A 19,022-nucleotide genomic window follows, 5' to 3' on the forward strand; every position below is an offset into this window, starting at 1 on the left:
ACTGTGACATCTATTTGGGAAACCAAAGACTACCATTCTTTATAAGGATTCCTTTTTTTTTTTTTTTTTTTTTTTTTTTGAGACAGATTCTCACTCTGTCACCCAGGCTGCAGTGCAGTGGCGCAGTCTCACTCACCGCAGCCTCTGCCTTCCCAGGTTCAGGTGATTCTCATGCCTCAGCCTCCCGAGTAGCTGGAATTACAGGCATATGCCACCACGCCTGGCTAATTTTTGTATTTTTAGTGGAGACAGGGTTTTGCCATGTTGGCCAGGCTGGTCTTGAACTCCTGACCTCAAGTGATCCACCTGCCTTGGCCTCCCAAAGTGCTGGAATGACAGGTGTGGGCCTCTGTGCCAGGCCAGGATTCTTCTTTTAAGAGACTATAGTGAGCAGCATCTACCAACTTGCATCCTTGTATGTTGCATATCTTATTTGTTTGCTTGGGGAGTAAACCAAAGTAAAAACGTCCTTTGTCAAATTAAGGACCTTACAAGATTTTCTGTGTTAATGGATTGGAAGTCTTTACTATTCTTTTTTTTTTTTTTTGAGATGGAGTCTCCCTCTGTCGCCTAGGCTGGAGTGCAGTGGCACGATCTCTGCTTATTCAGTCTCTGCCTCCCGGGTTCAAGCGATTCTCCTGCCTCAGCCTCCTGAGTAGCTGGGATAACAGGCGTGCGCCACCACACCTGGCTGATTTTTGTATTTTTAGCAGAGACGGGATTTCGCCACATTGGTCAGGCTGGTCTCGAACTCCTGACCTCATAATCCACCCACCTTGGCCTCCCAAAATGCTGGGATTACAGGCATGAGTCACCACGCCCAGCCTAGATGTCTTTACTATTCTTAAGATGGCAGTAGTCCCCAAGTTGATCTATGGATTCAACTCAATCCCTGTTTAAACCCCAAATTGCTTTTTTTTGTAGAAATCGGCAGGCTGATCCTAAAATTCATATGGAAATAAAAAGGGACTGAGAATAGCCAAAACTATTGAAAAAGAGTAACGTTGGCAAGGTTATGTTGCTTGATTTCAAAACTTACTACAAAGCTAGAGTAATGAAGACTGTGTGGTACTGGCATAAGGATGACCATACAGACCCGTGGACCGGAATTGAGAATCCAGAAATAAATGCATACTTTCACAACCCATCAATTTTTGGCAGCGGTGTTAAGACAGTTTATTGGCAAAAGAATAGGTTTTTCCACAGGTGATGCTGGGACAACTGAATATCCACATGAAAAGAATGAAGTTGGAACCTTATCTTATGTCATAAACAAAAATAACTCAAAATGGATCAAAAACCTAAACTTCAAAACTCTTAGGGAAAAAAATAGATATGTCTTGGATTCCAGAATGATTTCTTAAATATGACACCAAAAGCACAAGCAACCAAAGGAAAAAAGATAACTCGGACTTCATCAAAATTTAGTATTTTTGTGTTTCAAAAGATACTATCAAAAAAAAAAAAGACAACAAAATGGGAGAGAATATTTAAGAAACACCTGTCTAATAATGGTCTAGTATTAAGCCAAGGCTGAGTTCTTATTTCCCCATCCTTAAGTTTACACGATACTATATTAGTGAAGTTGAATTCTGTCATTACCACATGTATCTTGAAAGAAGTTTGTGTGGATCACGGGTCCAGTTACTTTCTCCGCCCTTTCCCTCCAGAGGATTTGTCACTCTCAATAATGTTATATACTAATTTCAAGGGGAAATACAACTCAAAACAAATCAGAAATCTGAAGCTTAAAAATGTTATGGTTTAGATGATGAAAAGGGAAAAGTACATTTAATTCATATCATATTTAGATGTAAAGCACTTAATGTTATATTGCTTAACCTATAAAGTAGCGCTTCAGTGCTCTCATCATATGAAGTAAATAATAGAAAATTCTTTGTGTGACACATGTCTGTTTTCAGCCAATCAGAAACCAGGATTATTTTGTATGTAATAATAGGGTTTACTGGAAGAGGAGCTATACAGATGGTACTTAGAGGATGTAGGGCCCTACGTATTAGGGCTTCTTAGTTGTAGCGAAGAGCAATTGGTCTGGTACGTTTAGCTTTTTCACATTTAGTTTTGAATTCTGACTCTAGAAATGTACAACCCCATCTTTTGAATTACAGGTTTTAAGATGTTATTTGCTCTTAATACGTCTTAAGGTAACAGCCTTGATCACTGCTTTTACTTTCGATGAAATAACTTAATGAGCTGTGAAGAAAAAATTATCAGATTTTAAGGGAGAGAATTTTATGAAAATGTCTTTGAGGTTCCTGTCACCTTTATGAGAATGTCTTCAAAGTTTCCATCACCACCTCTACCAATTTTTCTTCCACCGGAGCCAGTGGACTTAGGTTCCATAACAAGCTCCTCTTGTTCACTGAATGAGCTAGACAATATTTCCCACCTTTTAAGGAAAATATCAGCTGATATCAATGAAATTAAAGGAATGAAAGCAGCTATTTTGACAGTGGAAGCAAATCTTTTTGATCTAAATGTTAGAGTGTCCAAGAATGAAGCAAAAATTTCATCTTTGGAGGTTAAAATGAATGAATATTCAACAACATATGAATGCAACAGACAGTTTGAAGATCAAGAAGAAGATACTGAATCACAGTCAAGAACTACTGATGTAAAAATAATCGGCTTCCTTAGAAACGTTGAGAAAGGTAAACTCTTAATATATGATATGTTCTAGGTACCCATCCTTTGATCTGTATCTTTCCACGTATGTTGACTGTAGCTCTGATGTGGAGGGAGCAAGTTACAGAGAACTTGAATTTTTCATGGACCTTTAATGACAAATTTGGATTCTGCTTGATTTAGCTTAGCAATCTAGAATTGATCAGAATTCCATCCTCTTTAATGGAGCTCTCTAAAACGATGTTTTGAAAAGACAGATGAACCTAGAGCAATGAAGCAAAACTTGAAATGTGGAAGTGTGGTCTTTCATGTGTCTTGTGAAATTATTTTAAAATGTCTCATTCTTTCATCATGTACTGTTGATGTGAAGGAGACCTGTTGCAGTATTTGGATGGAAAGAGCATTCTTCCTGTAACTTTTCACCTCAGTTTTCCAAGCTTCCCACAGGAATGCAACTTGACCTAAGTGTCATCTTCGTTACAGTTCCTCAGAATGTGTGTTTTTTTATGGTAATAATTCTGGAAGGAATTGACTTTTTTGGGACGCACCAGTAAAATTTCATATAACTTATGTTTTAAAGGAAACTAACTGATACAATTTCAAATCGAGTATAGGTTTTAAAATTTAAAAACACCTTTTAATGAAATGTGGTGCTTGGTGGGAGATGGCCCACTTAACATCTTTGCACTGAGTAAGCAAAGCCTGTCCTTGTGAAGCCACCTGTAATGGATATACCCAAAATCAGCATGTGGGCATCTTAGTAAGATTTCAGTATTTGCAACCCTATCAGTTACATCCCTTTGTACACTGTAGTGCAGTACCTTATAATGAGCAAGTGAGTGCCTGATGTCTGCTAAGCGCTGTGGGGGCTACAGAAAAGTGTGACATTCTCCCATCCTCAAGGAGCTTAACATCAAATCGAGGATGGAAAAAAATCAGTTCTTTGTCCCTATTTTGTGCAGTCAGACTGCTGGGCATATTATTGTTAGGAATAGTGAACCTAATAGGAATTAATGTTAGGAGCCTATTTTAGAAGAAATAAGTAGTTGAACATCTTTTCTTGTGGAAGAGGCAAAGAATTATTATCATGCTTTGCTAACATAGGGTGTGGATTGTAGAGCTGAGTGTCTTATTGTTTTCTTTGCATGCATCGAAGCCCAGAGTTTGTCTTTTAGGAACTCTTGTTTAGATGATGAGAGTGTTTTGTTTTGCTATTTCGATTATCTTCAAAGGTCATGAGTGAGTCGTGATGGTAAGAGCTCAGGTGATGGAGGGAGGTGCTTGCCATGCTTATTGTGCAGTTGGCTGTGATGCGAGCTGCTGGGCCACAAGGTGCCTTTTCCTGGATTTTCCACCCGTTTGCCACCTTTACTTTCCCCGCAGAATTCAAATTCAGGAAAACTGATGTCCTCATAGAGGGAGAACCAGGAGTGTTTTAAATTGGCATTTGTGGTTTAACCCTGAGTACAGCCTTTTTTGTCTTACAGGATATGTCTTTGGTCTATAAATACTATTAAATTGAATTGTTGAAGCTTTAAGTTACTTTTAAGACTTCAAGTTAAGAACCCAGAAGGATTGATTTTTGGGAACCACATGCTGGTATTGTCTGTGTTGTAAGCTTAGTGAAGTTTTAAAATTTATATTCTAGGAACTCAACAGAGGCAATTATTATCCCGACTGCAAATCGACCCAGTAATGGCAGAAACTCTGCAGATGAGTCAAGGTTGGTAATGTTTCAAGTTGTACTGTAATCCAGCCATTTCAGTTGCCATTTCCATTTCTTACACCCCATTTAACGTATCTCGGATCTCTTAGATCCTGCCCTAAGATGTTATATTTAGATCTGTGAAAATATTTTAGGGCCAGGAGATAAGATCTGCATTTCTTTCATGTTATATAGTGTTATAATTTTTTGCCTCATTGGAAAACTTTGTTCCTTTCACACCATTCCAAGTGTGTCCCTAGCACTGTCGGCTGTCACTCTCCTGCTGTCAGGAGTGACCTGCGTTTCTGATTTACCCTCCCACTCTACCCAGCTTTTGTCATTGCCATGAGTGGCTTTTGTATCCTGTTTTTCACCTGGTTAGCCTTATCCTCTTGTACTTCATTTTGGAGTCTTATCACCAGGGCCACACCTGGAACTTGTTGTTCTAGTGTTCTAGAGCCACTCTAGTTTGCCTGTCTCCTTTCCTCTCCCCACAGACACACATGCCAGGGGCTACTCCAGGACTGGAGCTGACGCCTTCATTTTTATTATCTCTGTCCTCAGTGCCCAGCCCCTGCCAGATGCATGTTCAATGTCTTAAAAATGACTGCAGGATAAACACAGGCAACCATGAGAGACCCGGAATCATCTCAGTCCTTCTGTTTCCCCTAAGTCTGTCTTTTGTGGGAAGCTCTGGTCCCTAGACCCCTCTCAGTCAGGACTCCACAGTCAGTCACTCTGTTCCCCGACCCTCCCCCAGCTTTCCAGCTCAGAAAGTGTGCTTTTCCTCCCTAAGGGTCAGCCTCCACCAGAGGCCAGATCCCACTGGGTTGGTGAGCCACTGGCATGTCACCCACTCCTCCAACTTCATTCTCTGCCTCCTGTCTTCTCTCTGTAGAGGTGTTCAGACATTCTCTGCCCGTGATTTTGCTCTCTCATCTCCCAGCAGTCCGTCCTGCTTCCTCCACAGGAGTATTTGAAAAGGTTGACAGCCGAGATCTGTGTGTGGGATCCACTTCATCAGCTCTTGTGCATGTTTTCTCTTCTGCCTCCTTCAGCTTTTCATTGTACCCATGGTGCACGCAGTTTGAAATAGCAAGTAGTTCTGTGAGGCTTATGAATGACTGCAGTCCTTAGCTCCTATCACATTTTTTATTCTAAGATCCCTTTGTTTCTGCATATTCTATTAATTTTCTAAAAACATACTGATTTTGTGTACACAATACTCTTTGTTATTTCTCTGTGGTCTGAAAGGTGGTTTTGACATTTTTCCCCTCCCTGCTTCGTCTTGTTTTCTCTAAGTGGTCTGTTTTGGCTGTCTTTTATGCTGGAGGTTCCCCTCTGATGTCTGGGGATCCTAGGTGGTCTTACATTTAAGAGTGGAGCACTCAGAAGGTCACTGGTATTCTGGGTTCATGAGTTGGGGCATGGGGCACTTTGACTTTCTGTTTGAAACTAGACCCTGTGGTGGAAAGTGATTTGTCCTGCCTGTCTGGTTTGTGGGCACCCTGATGTCACTGCCTTCAAGACTTTCCTCTCAGGCTGGTCAGCTTCTCCAAAACAAAGTTTTTCAAGTAATAGCCTGGTAGTCAGAGTTCTGCGAGCTTAAGTGGGGAAAGAAGGCTGGGGGAGGCACCTCACCATTAATTATTATGTAATGTTTATTTAACCCTCCCCCAACCATTGTCAGTCCAGTACTTCTTTCATCATGGCTGGTGTCTCTTGGTCCAGGGACTCTGTTCTTATCCTCTGAAGAGTCTAAAGCTCCACTTTCTCCAAGGGAGAATGCATGCAGTGGGTAAAGATTTATCAGGAAATCTAATTGCCTTTAAAAATTTTTAACAGTGTACCTTCAGGTGATTTTGTCGTAGCATCTTTCTGGCAGAGACCCTAATGCTTCATCCATAGGCCTCTCCGAAGATTATCTACAGGAAAGCACATCACCAGTCATCCCAGGTGTCTTCAGTGTAGAGGTCGGGATTGGTGTGGCAAGCATCAAAACCAAGAAAACAGTGGCCAGGTGCAGTGGCTCACGCCCATAATCCCAGCACTTGGGGAAGCCAAGGCAGGCAGATCACTTCAGGTCAGGAGTTCCAGACCAGCCTGGCCAACATGGCGAAACCCAATCTCTACTAAAAAATACAAAAATTAGCCAGGCGTGGTGGTGCACATCTGTAATCCCAGCTACTAAGGAGGCTGAGGCAGGAGCCTTGCTTGAACCCAGGAGGCGGAGGTTGCAGTGAGCTGAGCTCGCACCACTGCACTCCAGCCTGGGTGACAGAGCAAGACTGTCTCAAACAAAGAAAACAGATACATGGAATTAGAGTTGAAGAAGAACTAACTGCTTCTTGGACACATCTAATACACCTCTTTTTTGCCTGCCATTTCTTCCATTTCTTCCTAAGGTCCTTTTACTGCCAGTTCCTGAGCCTTTGGAGAATCTTGTGGTCTGAATTGGATTGCTTCATTATTGCCTTAGAATTCAGCTTTTACAGATCCCCTGAGTTCTTAATCATCTGTTTTCCACTTTGAAAATTTCTTTTTACACTTATTTTCTTTGTGAGTTTATGCTTTCAAAACAAAAACAAAACCCTTATTGACATTTCTGTGGGCTTTCAGGAGGGAACAAAAAGTAAATGCATGGGGTCAGCCTGTGGTCTCTACTCAGAAGATGTTACTTACTCCCCCGTCTGTCTGGTCTCCATGTGACCTGGGCTGCTAACGTTCCGCTTGCAGAGAGGTGTGCGGGAGGGACCGGTGCACGCTTTCCTCAACCCTGGAGCATGTTACACTTGGGTTCCCATACTTTCTCCAAGCTTTGACCTTTCGGCTTCCAGTTCACTCTGTCTTTATTCTTCTCATTCCCTTTCATTCTCATGTGTCAGCGCATCTCCTCCATTCCTCCTCAAAAGGTTAGCTTTGCTCTCTCCCACCTTCAGCATTATTTTCATCTCTTCTGTGTTCACCCAACCTATGAACTGGTAGAACTCCTTCGTCTCAGAAAGTGCAGAGTGGTGGGAAGGAGTGAAGCAGCCCCTGGGCCACTGTTGGGACCCACCTTTGACAGTTGTGAGACCTCGGTGAATCATTTAATAACTTGGAGCTGCAAACAGTCATCTGTAACATGGGAGGAAACCGACTTTGTAGGCTTTGAGTGAGGATTCAGTGAGAGACGGCCACCCTGAATATGTTAAACACTTCTGTCACCTTCGGTTTTGACTCAGCATCTTATTTCTGTCCCCCCACCTACAGGTCAAATCTGAATTTTCTACTTCCTCTTAAACATGGGAGAGTCCCACAAAGACTTTAAATCTAACATGGAAATGTATCTTTGCCCCTTTTAACTTTGCTCTTTTTCTTTTGCTAAGTTTCTCATCCCAGCTTTCTCTTCCGCCTGTCTCCCTTTACCATCTGTACTGCCCTTGCTGGGGAAGGCGGGCACGCCCCTTCCCAGGATGGAGCATGTCTTCTCTTCCTGTCAGGTGTGTGAGACCAGGACAGACAGCAGAGAATCTTTTCATTCAGAGCCTCACCCTCTGTCCCGGGCAACAGCAGGTCGAGAACTCTGGTTCTTCCTTAACACTGTTTTTCTAAAAACCAGTTTGATCAGGCCACTTCCTTCCTTAGGAACCTCTCTTGATTTCTTTTCTCTTTTTTTTTTTTTTGGTTTGAGATGGAGTCTCCCTCTGTCACTCGTGCTGGAGTGCAGTGGCACAATCCTGCTCATTGCAGCCTTGACCTCCTGGGCCCAAGCACTTCTCCCACCTCAGCCTCCCAAGTAGCTGGGACTGCGGGCATGTGCTCCCACGCCTGGCTAATTTTATTTATTTATTTATTTTCTGGTTGATGGGAGGTCTCACTATGTTGCCTAGGCCGGTCTCAAACTCCTGGGCTTATGGAATCCTTGTGCCTTGGCCTCCCAGAATGTTGGGATTACAGACATGAACCGCCACACCAGGCCACTTGATTTCTTACTAATTATAGACCAGAATCGAGAGTCACTGAGACATAGAAGAACCTTTATTATATGTGTCAGCCTTCCTTGGTATGTACTGCTGAGCCCACCACACACACCCTTCCAGCCATTCCACATTCTAACCTTTCTCAGATGCCTTCGGCCTTGTGAAAGCCCCTTTCCTTCTACGTGCGTTTTCCTCTGCCTGAAGTGCTGTGTTCGTTTCTCCGAGTCTCTCTCCTTGTTTATTCCTGCTTGTTCCTTTACTGCTGACTTCAGATGTTCCTCCTTGCTAAGCTTTTCGTTGGTTCTTGGCTGGAGTGGGCTGTTCTGTATTCTCAGCACCTTGTTCACATCCCTTTTGGGTCATGCTATTCTGAAATTGTATATGTGTCTGTTTTTCTTTTTTTCTTTGTGTATCTAGCTCAGTTCTCTTAGTTGTTCAGTAAATACTCAGTGAATGAACATAAATGAATACCCTGTAAATTTTGGTCTCTAAGCTTTAAAAGAAGTGTATTAACTTCAGTCCGTTGATGGCGTATTGATAGGTCAGCCATTCTGGGTTGTAGGTCTTGGCATATTTTATAAAATAGTAGATGATGTGAGCTTATGGTTATTTGCATTAAAGGCCAGTGTTTTTCTTGATACATATGTTTAAGTGTCCATTCACCTTTCAGTTACCTTTTAAAGTAGTCCTCGGTTTATAACCAACTGGAAATTATACCACTTGAATTCTTTTTATCAGGACATGATTCTAAGTGGTACTGTGCGAAGTGAACAAACCAGATTTTGGAAAAGTGGTTCAGCAGTCTGTGTATTCTAATTATAGGGAGCATTAGGACTCAAATTCTCCAGGTTTTTAGAAAAGATTTTTGTACTTTAAGGGTATATTGTTAATATCTGTTGAGATGCCTCACCTGAGAACCTTTCTCTGCTGTGGTTAGGGAGTGTTAATCAGAATCACTTGTGCCGTGCCCTACGCGAGAAGGACTCCTTGAGTTCTTTGAAAACATGTTTGGAATAGAATTATAGCCCTGTTTTCCTGAGTGGAACCAGTTGTGATTTTCCTTTGAAATAATTTGAATATATAAAAGATTGACATTCTTCTCACATATATAATGTTGGGAATGTAAGGTATATTCAAAAGTAAACATTTGTGGCCAATTTTTTTGGCTCAGATTACTATGACATGGAATCCATGGTCCATGCAGACACAAGATCATTTATTCTGAAGAAGCCAAAGCTGTCTGAGGAAGTAGTAGTGGCACCAAACCAAGAGTCGGGGATGAAGACTGCAGATTCCCTTCGGGTACTTTCAGGACACCTTATGCAGACACGGTAGATGGTTTCTTTTTCTTGTGTAGTTAATTTGTGTGATTAGATAGTAAAGGTTAACCATTCGTTTGCAGCTTCCCTCCTCCCCGCCCTAACCGCTAGCGTAGAGTGCTTTCATTGATTCAGTAGCTAGCCCATGAATAGTTAGCCAAATTCAGTTTTCAAGAATTCCAGTTCATCTTTCTTGTTCAGAAATCCATTAACCTACAAATTACAACTCAGTGTATGATTTAACTCTATTAAAGATTCTTTTCTTTATGCAAATTCAGGAAATGCAAGTTTAAAAGCCAGCTGACCATAATCAGGTCAGCTCTAAAGAGAGTTGGCAGATCAGGTTTGGGTGATTTTTCCCTTAGAAAATTGACTGTTTCTATAAAAGAAGAAACATACAGATAATTAGCATAAATGCTGCTGGCCCTTGTGTTCTGAGCATTGATGCTAATTTTTTGGTTTGTTTCCATGTTGACCCTATGAAGATCGAATGGGTGATGGGGTCAGGCTTGAGGGGAGATTGTCCTTAGTAAGTACAGGCTGGAGGGTCACTGGTGATGCCACTGTGACTGTTCATGGCCATCGTGTGTTAGCAGAGAACCCACCAGTGCTGCACCTGGTAGCCCTACCTAGTCTTTTTTTATTGAACCAAACGCAAAGCCAAGGGAGTGATAGTTCTGCTGAAGAGCACTTTAGGGGGCTCAGCGTTTTGTGTTTGTTTCCCTAATTCTATGGTATTTTTTATCTGTCTGGCAGAGATCTTGTACAACCAGATAAACCTGCAAGTCCCAAGTTTATAGTGACGCTGGATGGTGTCCCCAGCCCCCCAGGATACATGTCAGATCAAGAGGAGGACATGTGCTTTGAAGGAATGAAACCCGTAAACCAAACTGCAGCCTCAAACAAGGGACTCAGAGGTCTCCTCCACCCACAGCAGTTGCACTTGCTGAGCAGGCAGCTTGAGGACCCAAATGGTAGCTTTTCTAACGGTGTGTTGAGAGCTCAGATTTTCAGGGTGCTGTCATTGTGAAGGGAATCTTTGACTTGTTTCTCTACCTTGAATGAATATTGGTTAAAGGCCTTGCTTTTATTTATATTCAGTAATGGCCTTTTTTCTTCTTTCAGACAAACCCACCAAGTACATTTCAGACTCTTTTTCCTGTGTCTTTTTCATAGGTGGGCTGTTACTCCAGTTTGAAAACGGAGTTCAGCCATGGAACCTGAGAGACCTCTTCCGCTTATGCTGGCTAAAGGATGAACCACCATTCTTGTTGCCTTCTTTACCTTTGTATTTTCTTCAGAAACTGTACTGCCACTTTGCCCTTTTATCAGCAATAGTCTCTTGCAATTAACTTGAGAGAAAAATTTAGATTTGATGCTATTTCTACCTCAGTGAAATTTCTTTGAAAGGAGTTTCTCACCTAATCTATCAAGATCTTGGAACTGTTTAAATTAATGTTGAAGAGTAATATTTAGCAGAACTCAGATGAACTCATTTCAGATAGCACCATAGTTTTTGGCAGGTGACAGTTTCTTATCACCGTTTCTTTCACTGGGTATCAGTGGTAGCTGCAACGCCACTGATCATTTCCATTCATGATAGAGAATGGTAATTATGTTCCTTATATCTTCTAAAATATTTAGAAGCACCTCTTCATTGGCAGGAGGGATAATTACTCAATCTTAAAAGCGTACAGATTCAAAGGAAAAACAGTAATGGATTTTGAAACATTTCCTTGAGTAATCCTCTTCTTGGAAGAGATATGAAAATGTATTGAATACCTTTCTCGATCATTAAAAATAGAATAGACTTCAGAGGGAAATCATATGTTAGTGGAGCAATAACACTTAGCTTTATTTTAATTGGTTGCGTTTCCTACTGTGAATCAATGACGTAGTGTCGTGGTTTTGATTAGTGGAGGGAGTTGAAAATCTGACCCTATCAACAGGAAGAAAAACTTAAAAAATAGTAAAAGCTGCAGTAGGCAGTCCCGATTTATTGACTCTGTATGTTTTGTCTAAAGAGAAGACTCCAGTGTTTTCACTACTCTTGATTTTCAATTTGGTACCTTAATTTTTTGGTCTATTAGGATCTGGTTTCATTTAAATGTAGGTGTCCATATGAGGCTTTATGGGGTATACATGTAGCAGCAGTGACACCATAAATAATATGTTAGTAAAAATTCTTGCCAGTGCTGTGGCCATTGTGCTGACAGCCATGATGAGTGGTGAGCCTCCTTTCCCATTGCTTTGACTGGGGACTCAGTGTTTCCCTGCTGCTCAAGGATGAAGCTTTGTAAGATTAGCATAGGGGTGTGGCTGGAGAGACTCCTGCAGAACAGTTCTCAGGAGTCTCTAGTCTCTGCACCACTTCCCCTGTGAGCAGGGAGTTTGAAACTGCAATTGCTTCTGGTTGGTTTTATGTTGGGTTGTTTCAAGGATGCTACCAACAACAACATCTGTTTTAACCTGCTGTCTTTTCACTCACTGTCATATGGCAGCACAGATTTTATAGCTTGCTTTCTTTGTTTTTTTTTTTTTTGAGATAGAGTCTCTCTGTCCCCCAGGCTGGAGTGCAATGGAGCCATCTCAGCTCACTGCAACTTCTGCCTTCCAGGTTGAAAGCCATTCTTCTGCCTCAGTCTCCCAAGTAGCTGGGATTACAGGCATGCACCATCACACCTGGCTAATTTTGTAGTTTAAGTAGAGACGGGGTTTTACCATGTTGGTCAGGCTAATCTCCAACTCCTGACCTCAAGTGATCCACCAACCTCGGCCTCCCAAAGTTCTGGGATTACAGGTGTGAGCCACCGTGCCTGGCCTATAGCTTTCAATAAAAGGTGAATTTGCCTCTTAAAATTTGAACAGAAAGTTTTAATAGTTTACAAAGTCGGTGTCAGCCAGTGAAGACTAGGGGCATGACCTTCGTATGACTTAATGTTTTTAAAAGAAAGATAAAGTTTCTTTGTAAGGTATTATTGTAATAATCACATTTCTTTGTAAAGTATTATATTGTTCCTGAGTATCTAGCTACTTTGCTTTCCAGCTAGGCTTCTCTTGGGTATTCTCTTAATCTTTTATTTGTACTGGGTTCTTGTGTATATATTATAGTCTGCTGTGTGTAATTTATTATAGGAAAAGGGTAAGACACATTTACTTTGCGGGGATGACACAAAAAACCTGTAAAAATTAGAGAAACTTCCAGTCATCTCACATTTTCTTTGGAACCGATTATTCTTGTATCTTAGAACTAAAATGACTTATACTGTTTTGTTTTTAGAAAGGGTATCCCTCCTGTTGCCCAGGCTGGAGTGCATTGGCACAGTCATGGCTCACTGCAGCCTCCACCTCCCAGGCTCAAGTGATTCTCCCACCTCAGCCTCCTGAGTAGTTGGTTACTACAGGTGCACACCACCATGCCTGGCTAATTTTTTGTATTTTTTGTAGAGATGGGGTTTCACCATGTTGCCCAGGCTGGTCTGAAACTCCTGAGCTCAAGTGATCTGCCCGCCTCGGCCTCCCAAAGTGCTGGGGTTACAGGCATGAGCCACCACATCCTATTTAAAGCTTAAATAGGACTTTTACTATTTTTAAAGTAGCATAGAAAACTGTTTGTATCAGGCATAGTCATAATTGCTCTTTGATGCTGCTCCTATCTGGGCTGCATGACTACATTTGTGTGCCTTGTTCTCCTGTAGTGAGGACAGAATGTGGGTCACTGGAACAGTAAGTACTCATAGAACTAGCTGCTGCTGCTATTACGACTGGTTGCCTGTTTTGCATTTTTTCCGTTTAATCATCAGACTCTAAGGAAGACATTATTTTCTCTTTGTATAGATGAGGAAACAGAATTCCAAAAAGTTAGCTAACATTTGCACAGAGTGTCTGGCTGAGCAACTAAGTGGCAGAGTCAGATTTTAACTGACCTCTGGCAAGAGGACTAGAGGAATACAGTTGAAGTGATACTTGCTTTCATGAACATGAATGTGAACCATAATACATAATACCCATGATGCTATTTTGTGGGGAGTTTAAGGTGTCTCAGTCCAGAAATTAGCAGCTGATTATTGCCTGTAGCTGTAATTTTACTTATTCAGTGTTATTTAATAAATTGCCAGCATTACAATTTCGATGAAGGCAGATTTTTGGCTTACTGAAACAGGATAAAAATCTGGCAACAGGGGTCCCACTTTGCCCTGTCATAGTAATCGAAGCTGTGATTGGATGTGGCACAGGGAGTGGAGTGGATGGGTGTGCACTTGCTTTCCAGGCTGCTGCTCCCCGTCTGTCCCTTATTGCATTTATCATCTTCAGCCCAGTCAGTCTTGCTGTTAGGGGAACTGCCCAGTCTCTGTAAGTGATGGCATTTGTGACCCCATTGTAGGTAAAAATGTTTTCCCCTTTTTAGACATTGCTGGCTGAGCGCGGTGGCTCATGCCTATAATCCCAGCACTTTGGGAGGCCGAGGTGGGTGGATCGCTTAAGTCCTGGAGTTCAAGACCAGCCTGGGCAACGTGGGGAAACCCTGTAGCCAGGCGTGGTGGCACGTGCTACTTGGTAGGGGCTGAGGTGGGAGTATCACTTGAGCCTGGGAGGCAGAGGTTGCAGTGAGCCGAGATTACACCACTGGCACACCACTGTACTCCATCCTGGGTGACAGAGCAGGACCCTGTCGTAAAAAAAAAAAAAAAAAAAAAAAGTAAAAGACATTGCTGAGTTTCGCACCTGGACTTACAGCTCAGCAGGTGGGAATCCTTTTGTATTTGGGCCACTCATCATCTTGCTGGCGTGTGAGGATTCACATCTCCTTATCACCTTACCTGTTTTCAGTTTTTATTTAATTTTATTAGTTCCCCACTTGACGTCCTTCTCTATTTTTAATTCAGCTATGAATTAGTATTGAGAATTAGAATTTTTGGTGAAAAATTTGGCCGTAGTTGCAGAGTCACTGTCCTCTTTCCTTTTCACAGTGAGAACTGTTGTCTTCTTCCTGGCAACCTTTTATAGGATTCTATGGCCAGTGTTAATCCCATAATTTGAGCTCACTTATTTTATATGACTGTACATTTAACAGAAGATTCTAAGACAGGTTTGAGGGAAATATGTTAAAGGTGCTGTGTACTGAATTGATCATAATGAATGAAATACTTTTATTTCCTTTCCCTTTGTAGCTGAGATGAGTGAACTGAGTGTGGCACAGAAACCAGAAAAACTTTTGGAGCGCTGCAAGTACTGGCCTGCTTGTAAAAATGGGGATGAGTGTGCCTACCATCACCCCATCTCACCCTGCAAGTGAGTACCATCCCCCCATCTCACCCTGCAAGTGAGTACCATCCCCCCATCTCACCCTGCAAGTACCATCCCCCATCTCACCTGGCAAGTACCATCCCATCTCACCCAGCAAGTACCATCCCCCACATCTCAACCCTCAAGTGAGTACCATCCCATCTCACCCTGCAAGTACCATCCCATTTCACCCTGCAAGTACCATCCCCCATCTCACCCTGCAAGTACCATCTCCCCATCTCACCCTGTAACTACCATCCCATCTCACCCTGCAAGTGAGTACCATCCCTGCATTTCACCCTGCAAGTACCATCTCATCTCACCCTGCAAGTACCACCCCCTCATCTCACCCTGCAAGTATCATCCCCCATCTAGCCCTGTAAGTGCGAGTACCATCCCCCATCTTACCCTGCAAGTACCATCACCCACTTCACCCTGCAAGTACCATCCCCCACCTCAGCCTGCAAGTACCATCCCCCACCTCAGCCTGCAAGTACCATCCCCTATCTCACCCTGCAAGTACCATCCCCATCTCACCCTGCAAGTATCATCCCCCACCTCACCCTGCAAGTACCATCCCCCATCTCACCCTGCAATTGAGTACCATCCCCCATCTCACCCTGCAAGTACCATCCCCCATCTCACCCTGCAAGTGAGTACCATCCCCCATCTCACCTTGCAAGTACCATCCCCCATCTCACCCTGCAAGTACCATCCCCCATCTCACCCTGCAAGTATCATCTCACCCTGCAAGTGAGTACCATCCCCCCATCTCATCCTGCAAGTACCATCCCCCATCTCACCCTGCAAGTACCATCCCCCATCTCACCCTGCAAGTACCATCCCCCATCTTACCCTGCAAGTGAATACCATCCCCATCTCACCCTGCAAGTGAATACCATCCCCATCTCACCCTGCAAGTGAATACCATCCCCCATCTCACCCTGCAAGTGAATACCATCCCCATCTCATCCTGCAAGTGAATACCATCCCCATCTCACCCTGCAAGTCATAGCCAGCTGATTTTGGCTTTCAGTTTAGTGTCTGTATCTTACACCTTATTTTGTTTTTGTTTTTCTGTGGACAAGTTTTTAGTTTTATAACTAAATGGAGTGACAATTACCATGGCCCTCTCCAGAGTAGCGTATTTCTTGTTCATGTATGTTTGTTGAGAGGCAAGGGTGGGGGGGCTTTGTTTGTGCCTCGGACCTGTGAGATACTGAAATACCTGGGGTTCCTTAAGAATTCTGTACGTTTAAGCAGATGGGTATATGGTAACTGCCCCAGTTTGTATGCATTTTGGCCACACGCAGTATACACAGATTTTGAGGAGTTGAGGGAAAAGTTAGTTATGGGTAATGAAAACATTTTGGACTTGGGTTAAATTTTTCCTTACAAGCTGGCTGGCTCAATGTAATGAGCTTTATGAGATGGCTTTTTGGGGCTTCTTTTTTTTGCCGGGGGTAGGTCCTATGGATGGAATCTTCATTTTTAATTCTTTTAAGGAAATGATGTGGGAATAATACAGCTGTACATATAAGGAGAGTATGGGATGAGTCTTTTTGTATCACAAAGCCTTGCATAGAGGATGTGTTTATTGTATTAATGAGTTCACTGCATAAAATATATACCTTTTTTATTAAGTGGTGTGATTTTTATCACAAAAGCTTGTCTTTCTTGGTGGCTTGGCTTGAGTTAAAAGCCTGTGTTTGTGTTATCCCAAGCTTTGGAATAAATGATTGTGTCCTATTTTGATATATGGTCTTATTTTAAAATATTCTTTTTGTTGCTGTTTTTTTTGCATTTCTCAAAACAAGTAGTGATGGGGAGTGTAAAGAGCCCTTATACACAGAACTAATAATGCATTGAGAAGATTGAATATGAAATATGCTTTTTTTTTGTTTTGTAGAGCCTTCCCCAATTGTAAATTTGCTGAAAAATGTTTGTTTGTTCACCCAAATTGTAAATATGATGCAAAGTGTACTAAACCAGATTGTCCCTTCACTCATGTGAGTAGAAGAATTCCAGTACTGTCTCCAAAACCAGGTGAGTGAGTGACTGTGCTACTACATTTGGGTAAAAAATATAAAATGGCATTTTGTGACTGTAAATGGAATTGAACAAACAAAAGATGGTTTCAGAAATAATTTTGGCAGGATCAGTTAATCCAACCAGTCTTTAAAGAGCAAGTGTGCCTATCTGTAGTATTCCGAAGTATTTTGACTAGTGAATATATAAACCTTACCATTCTAATTTAAAAATGGTTTTCACTTTCAAAAAAAACATCAGTAGACTGCATTAAAAATGGGTTTTCCAAACAGATTGGAGATCAGTCCTGGTTTTTATTTTGTTAGCAGTTGCACCACCAGCACCACCTTCCAGTAGTCAGCTCTGCCGTTACTTCCCTGCTTGTAAGAAGATGGAATGTCCCTTCTATCATCCAAAAGTAAGAACTTCTATTTTCTCAAATCAATTTAGTGACAACATCTCAATTTCCTCATTTAACTTCTTTTTTGTCAGAGTTACTACATTGGTGCAAAAGTAATTGCGATTTTTGCCAGTAAAACTATTAAGTTGTTCCTCGTCACTGAACCTCCATCTGGCCCCTTAGGCCAAGTGGTCTGAAACTGTTCAATGTTAGTATCCCAAGCACTCAGTGGGGGGAAGCATATCTTTGCTAGTCACATTTTCCATTATTCCCTGCATTTAAGTATATGGATGGGTTTTAGCGGGGGCTGGGGGGCAGTTTGAACCTAATGTCAGAACTGAGATGAAGAAATCCAGTAGGTACTGCTTAAAACCATCCAAACTTGTACTGATGATGGTTGATGAATCTCCAGATGTTTAGTTGGTCAAAATGAATTATCTCCTTCTTGCCCCGGTAGCTTGAGGACCATATGAAGGCCTTCACTTGCCCCCATCTGTAACTGGGCGTAGATGAGGGTACTCAGTGAAGAGTGTAAGGGATAATTAGAAGTTTTTGTGGTATGCTAAACTACCTTTTGAAATTGTACTTGCTGTGATTCTTTGACTAGAATTTTGTGTCTCAAGGTTAAGTCCATTTTTCAAGGCTTCACTAGTATTAAAATGGTCCTTATAGATGGAATCTCTTACTCTGTTAATGGTTAGGGTGGGCTGGTTATTGTCTCCTAAGTTGTATGTTGGCCAGGTGAGGTGGGTCAGGCCTGCTATCCTAGTACTTTGGGAGGTAGAGGCAGAAGTGGAAGGATCGTTTGAGCCCGGGAGTTTGAAACCAGCCTAGGCAACATTTAAGAGACCCCATCTCTTAAAAAAAAAAAAAACAGGCTTGGTAGCACACGCCTGTAGTCCCAGCTACTCGGGAGACTGAGGCAAGAGGTCATGCCACTTCACTCCAGCCTGGGTGACAGAGTGAGACCCTGTCTCAAATAATAAAATAATGTGTTTACTTATATTAGCCTTGTGGATATTGTTGAAGCTCTGTTATCTCTATTCAGCATTGTAGGTTTAACACTCAATGTACAAGACCGGACTGCACATTCTACCATCCCACCATTAATGTCCCACCACGACATGCCTTGAAATGGATTCGACCTCAAACCAGGTAAACATTCAAATTCGTTTTTCTCATGTCAGTTCAAATTCTTTTTTCTAATTTGCAGTTTCTAAATTTATAAGCACACAAAATTGGAAACTAGACTGTTACTTTGAATTTTTTTCTTTGCTGTTTAATTATAGAAGGCTCCTTTGGCAAAATAATTTACTACATGGGCTAAATTTTACATTATCCAGTGGTTACTTTTTTAACCTAGATTATCTTGCTCTGTTGCCCAGGTTGGAGTGCAGTCACACTATCATAGCTCACTGCAGCCTCAAACCCCTGGGTTCAATCCATCCTCCCACCTGTAGCTGAGACTACAAGCGTGTGCCTCTATACCTGGCTAATTTTTTTTATTTTAAGTAGAGATGGGGTCTTGAACTCCTGAGCTGAAGCGATATCCTTCCACCGTGGCCTTCCAAAGTACCAGGATTACAGGCATGAGCCACCACACCCAGCCAGATTTTAACTTCTCATTATATACTACGCAAACATATACTAAGGCCAGCAGGAGTATATATATGTGT

General features: G+C 42.0%; 1 protein-coding gene across 29 annotated transcripts in view, besides 1 other annotated feature; it reads left to right on the top strand.

Moving 5' to 3' along the window:
• Positions 1 to 19,022, top strand: part of ZC3H14 (zinc finger CCCH-type containing 14) — a 64,560-nt gene that overhangs the window by 29,403 nt on the left and 16,135 nt on the right. For 4 of the 29 annotated variants that reach the window (NM_001326315.2, NM_001160103.2, NM_001326302.2 and 1 more), the window contains 7 exons: positions 4,295 to 4,369; positions 9,485 to 9,644; positions 10,389 to 10,621; positions 14,804 to 14,924; positions 16,828 to 16,964; positions 17,276 to 17,364; positions 18,395 to 18,501. In NM_001326315.2, coding sequence (NP_001313244.1) covers positions 4,295 to 4,369; positions 9,485 to 9,644; positions 10,389 to 10,621; positions 14,804 to 14,924; positions 16,828 to 16,964; positions 17,276 to 17,364; positions 18,395 to 18,501 — 922 coding nt within the window. Of the gene's footprint in view, positions 1 to 1,980; positions 2,673 to 4,294; positions 4,370 to 9,484; positions 9,645 to 10,388; positions 10,622 to 14,803; positions 14,925 to 16,827; positions 16,965 to 17,272; positions 17,365 to 18,394; positions 18,502 to 19,022 lie in introns of those variants that run through there. The other 25 variants (NM_001326303.2, NM_207660.4, NM_001326306.2 and 22 more) reach the window with 13 other exon arrangements.
• Positions 7,613 to 7,892: an enhancer, noted in NCBI's record as "active region_8842". NCBI's record gives its function as "activates an Ori minimal core promoter by ATAC-STARR-seq in GM12878 lymphoblastoid cells {active_cell/tissue: GM12878}" and the evidence as "EXISTENCE:reporter gene assay evidence [ECO:0000049][PMID:35858748]".

The sequence above is a fragment of the Homo sapiens genome, chromosome 14, assembly GCF_000001405.40.
Source record: "Homo sapiens chromosome 14, GRCh38.p14 Primary Assembly".
NCBI classification, from domain to species: Eukaryota; Metazoa; Chordata; class Mammalia; order Primates; family Hominidae; genus Homo; species Homo sapiens.